Source organism: Homo sapiens, chromosome 21, assembly GCF_000001405.40.
Source record: "Homo sapiens chromosome 21, GRCh38.p14 Primary Assembly".
Taxonomy (NCBI): Eukaryota; Metazoa; Chordata; class Mammalia; order Primates; family Hominidae; genus Homo; species Homo sapiens.
In genome coordinates this window covers 40,964,980-40,968,975 of record NC_000021.9, presented here as the reverse complement: position 1 = coordinate 40,968,975, position 3,996 = coordinate 40,964,980, and the positions used below count along the sequence as shown (strand labels likewise).

The following is a 3,996-nucleotide window of genomic DNA, read 5'->3' as shown; positions in this document are numbered from 1 at the left end:
GAAAAATAGGTCACATTGATGCTTCAAATTATAGTGGCTTATAGAGATTCAAATAACATATACATCAGAATTTTATGCCACAAAATAATAGCTTTCGCATAAGTTTGAAGTGCTGACACTGACATTTGTGGCAACATAAATGCTATTAGGGGACACAATCTTTGAGCCCTGGGGTGTGGCTTAATGCTCTCAGCACAAACTTTCAGTAATTTTGTGTCTTTGTGTGTGGATGAAAGGTAAATTTGGGCTATTATTTCTATAGCCCTATATTAATTCTGGCACACCTTGCACAAAATCTCATTATGTTACTTTTTTCAGAGTCAAAGTGCTTATGTTATAAAGAAGCTAAAATTTCACCTGTAGGAAAATTGGCACAATTTCTTGTTTTACCATCCTCAGTGCCAGCATAAAAAAGTGTACTTTCTGTTTGGGTAATTTTGCACAGCAGGAACTTTAAATTATTTACAGCTTTCCTTATCTGGAACCAGAAGAAACATACCATTTTCCATGCCACAATTTATACTGAAAAATGTTCTTAGAAAAAAGAATGGGGGTAAATTGCCCATGTGTTCAAGAGTCAGAGGAAGAACAAAAGAGTGTCAAAAATCAAGGGTCTCTTTTTCCTGCTATAATCAGGGTGGATATAAGGGACCCTGTCTAGCACCAAGACACTAGAAATTGCATTGTTCTCAGAGGCTTCTGCAAAATGGCTCCAAAACAAGCCTCTGTGAATGACCAAGAGTTTCAATGAAATGAAGAAAACCTGGGCATGAAATTGGAAGTAGCTCTGGACAGAGGCATGAGCCTCTGATACAGTTGTGCTGTGAAGATTGATCTGTGTCTTATGGGAAATGCTAGCCAAGGACTTGTGTTTTGGAAACTCAGTCCTTTTAATCCTTAGTTTTGGGGGCATTTGCATACCTAGAGAGACAAAGGGAGAGCCGAAGGAATCTCCCTTCTTCTCTTCTCAGCCCTGAAGCTTTCTCCAGCCTTTTAATCACCCTCCCTTCCTGTGTGCCTCGAGGCAGCCTCCAAATAGGGTTACTAAGCTTTGCCATATGTTAACCGGTCTCAGTCCCCAGTGCTGCTTAAGAATTTTACATCCTGGTTTTGCATTGATCTCCTGTCAGTTTAATTAGTGAGAATGGGTCCATTAAGGTTAAGTTTCTGGACCTGTGTGGCTTGAGACCTCATCTTATAAAGAAGGGAGAGGTGTCTAAGGGCCATTCTAATTCTATTAATTAATTGACTCAGTTCAGTCACACATAACAGCATAACGATAGCAGCCAATATTCATTGATCAGGCATCATGATGAGTATCATAGAAGGTTTGTCTGTCTTGGTCCTTACCTCAATTTCCCAATAAACTAGTGCAATTTCTAAAGCTAATTGAAAATCACATAGATAAGAAGGGGTGTTGCTAGTTGTAGTCAAACTAGATGCTCTGACTGCAGAAGCCACCCACACAACTGCCCTGTTCTACTGAATAGCAAGCAAGACGTCCTCTCTTGGAAGCTATTGTTTGACATAACTCATGCAGCACTCCTTCACTACCCACTTATCCTACTAATATCAGTTGCAATAAGACTATTAGTAACAGAGGGCATTTAGTAAGTACATTATAATTTGCAGAATGTTTTCTCATCTTAATTCTCTTTCTGAGACTCACAACAACCTCATGGGCAGGGAGACAAATGTTTCAGCCCTGTTTATGAGGAAATAGCCTAGTTCAGGAGGATATGCTGACAATTATTTGCCTACCGAGAAGGATAACTGAACAGGGCTCTCTGAATTCAAGGCCTGAGCTTACATCATGAGCCTGGCCCACTTCTCCTGTTCTAGAGTTTTGCTCCCAACAAATAGAATCATCTTTATTATAGTTGGGCAATAGTGTGTGCTTGCGCTCCAGGTCAGTGGAGCAAAGTGATGGGAAGCCAGGTAGCAAAAGCTGTCAGATCATATAGCTCATTTCTACTTGATTCTCAAACTCCAGTTAGAAGGCACTTTTGGGCTCATGGCAAAGAAGGCTTGAATTAAAAAAAAAAAAAAAAAGCCACTGGCAAATCGGGGCACAGGCTCCTAGGAGGAGCACTGAGCAATGCTCTAATCAGAAAAGGACCAATGCAGACAGCCAATTCCACTGAGCAAGCTGATGGCAGTTTGGGGACTGGCAAATGGAGAAGACAGGCAAAGAGGAACAGAAGGACATGGGCCACTGTTGGAGGTGGGGCAACAGGAACCTCTTTCTGACTGTCATTGTAATCAGAGAATCTTTGTCTAAATGACAGCAGCTTAGACTTGGGAAGCAATGAAGAAACCCAGGAGATAGCATCAAGAGCTTGGACCTTGCAGTCATCAGAATCCCACTGCAGCACTCACTGGCTCTACAATCATGGCTGAGGAACTTACTCCACTTTGCTTCAAGTTGTCCATCTGAAAAATTGGTACAATAATGATTATTCTTGAAATTTTTTCCAATTGTTTCCAGAATTCCATGTGTTAATATATACAAAGAGCCTATCAGAGTGCCTGGCACACATGGGGTCAGGGGGTTAATAAATATTGTTTTCTGTCTTTTTTCTCCTTTCTTCAGGACACAAATGCAACATGTGAGGGTCAGAACTTCATTCTAGGCCCAAGTAGGTGACTTATTCCAAATCCCATAGTTGGTACATTCAGAAACCTACTTAGTAGGAGTCCCTGGGAAGGCCAAAGGTGGGAGAATTGCAAGCAGCTGAAGGGACAGGGAGAAAGGGTACCAGAAAGAAGAAATGTCTCTTTCCTTTGATCAGTCTGTAGCTTCTGATCACCACTGGCTGCGGAAAAGCAATAGTTAAAATAATTAATCCACTTTCATAACCCCACATAGGAAGAAAAATCCTTCCTGGCCTGAAACACAGTCTGGACCCCTCTCTACAGGAAACTCCTACTAATAGGTGGTCCAGAAAGGATTCACCTTATTCAAGAGGATTAATAAAAAATAAACACCATAAGATCTATCTAAAGGTATTTCAAGAATAAGTAAGAGAAAATGGCAGGTCAAGAACACTCACCAGAAGAAAGATTTCATGAAACTCATAGAAACCGAGGCTAAAAATATCTTCAGAAAATGTATGAAATCTTAATTATCACAACAAAAAGCAAAACTAAAAAAATATATATAGGAATGCAGAAGCTCAGGGAAGAGATAATAAGAGAGTGTAGCAGAAACTGAAAGTAATACAATGAATCCTCAAAGTCATCGATAGATTCTTGGAAACTGTGACTTTAAGCAAAATGACCAGGTCCTTAAATAATGGCATCTTGCAATTCCTCAAGGATCTAGAACCAGAAATACCATTTGGCCCAGCAATTCCATTACTGGATATATACCCAAAGGATTATAAATCATTCCACTATGAAGACACATGCATACATATGTTTATTGCAGCACTGTTCACAATAGCAAAGACTTGGAACCAACCCAAATGCCCATCAATCATAGACTGGATAAAGAAAATGTGGCAGGTATACACCATGGAATACTATGCAGCCGTAAAAAAGGAATGTGGTTATGTCTTTTGCAGGCACATGGATGAAGCTGGAAGCCATCATTCTTAGCAAAGTAGTACAGGAACAGAAAACCACCACATGTTCTCACTTATAAGTGGGAATTGAACCATGAGAACACACGGACACAGGGAGGGGAACATCACACACTGGGGCCTGTCAGGGGGTGGGGGACAAGGGAAGGGAGAGGATTAGGACAAATACCTAACGCATGAGGGGCTTAAAACCTAGATGACGGGTTGATAAGTGCAGCAAACCACCATGGCATATGTATACCTGTGTAACAAACCTACGTGTTCTGCACATGTATCCCAGAACTTAAAGTAAAATTAAAAAAAAAGAAAATAATAATAATAATGTGATTTTGTTATAATGTTGATGAGAAAAAAACCTATTTTCTTTATATGTCATTTTGCTCAAAATCGCAGTTTCTAAGAACCAATTGAT

At 40.1% G+C, this 3,996-nt stretch overlaps 1 annotated feature.

The window, feature by feature from the left end:
* Positions 800–1,300: an enhancer, noted in NCBI's record as "NANOG-H3K27ac hESC enhancer chr21:42339602-42340102 (GRCh37/hg19 assembly coordinates)". NCBI's record gives its function as "activates a minimal SCP1, AML or CMV promoter by ChIP-STARR-seq in primed H9 embryonic stem cells {active_cell/tissue: H9 hESC(primed)}" and the evidence as "EXISTENCE:reporter gene assay evidence [ECO:0000049][PMID:30033119]".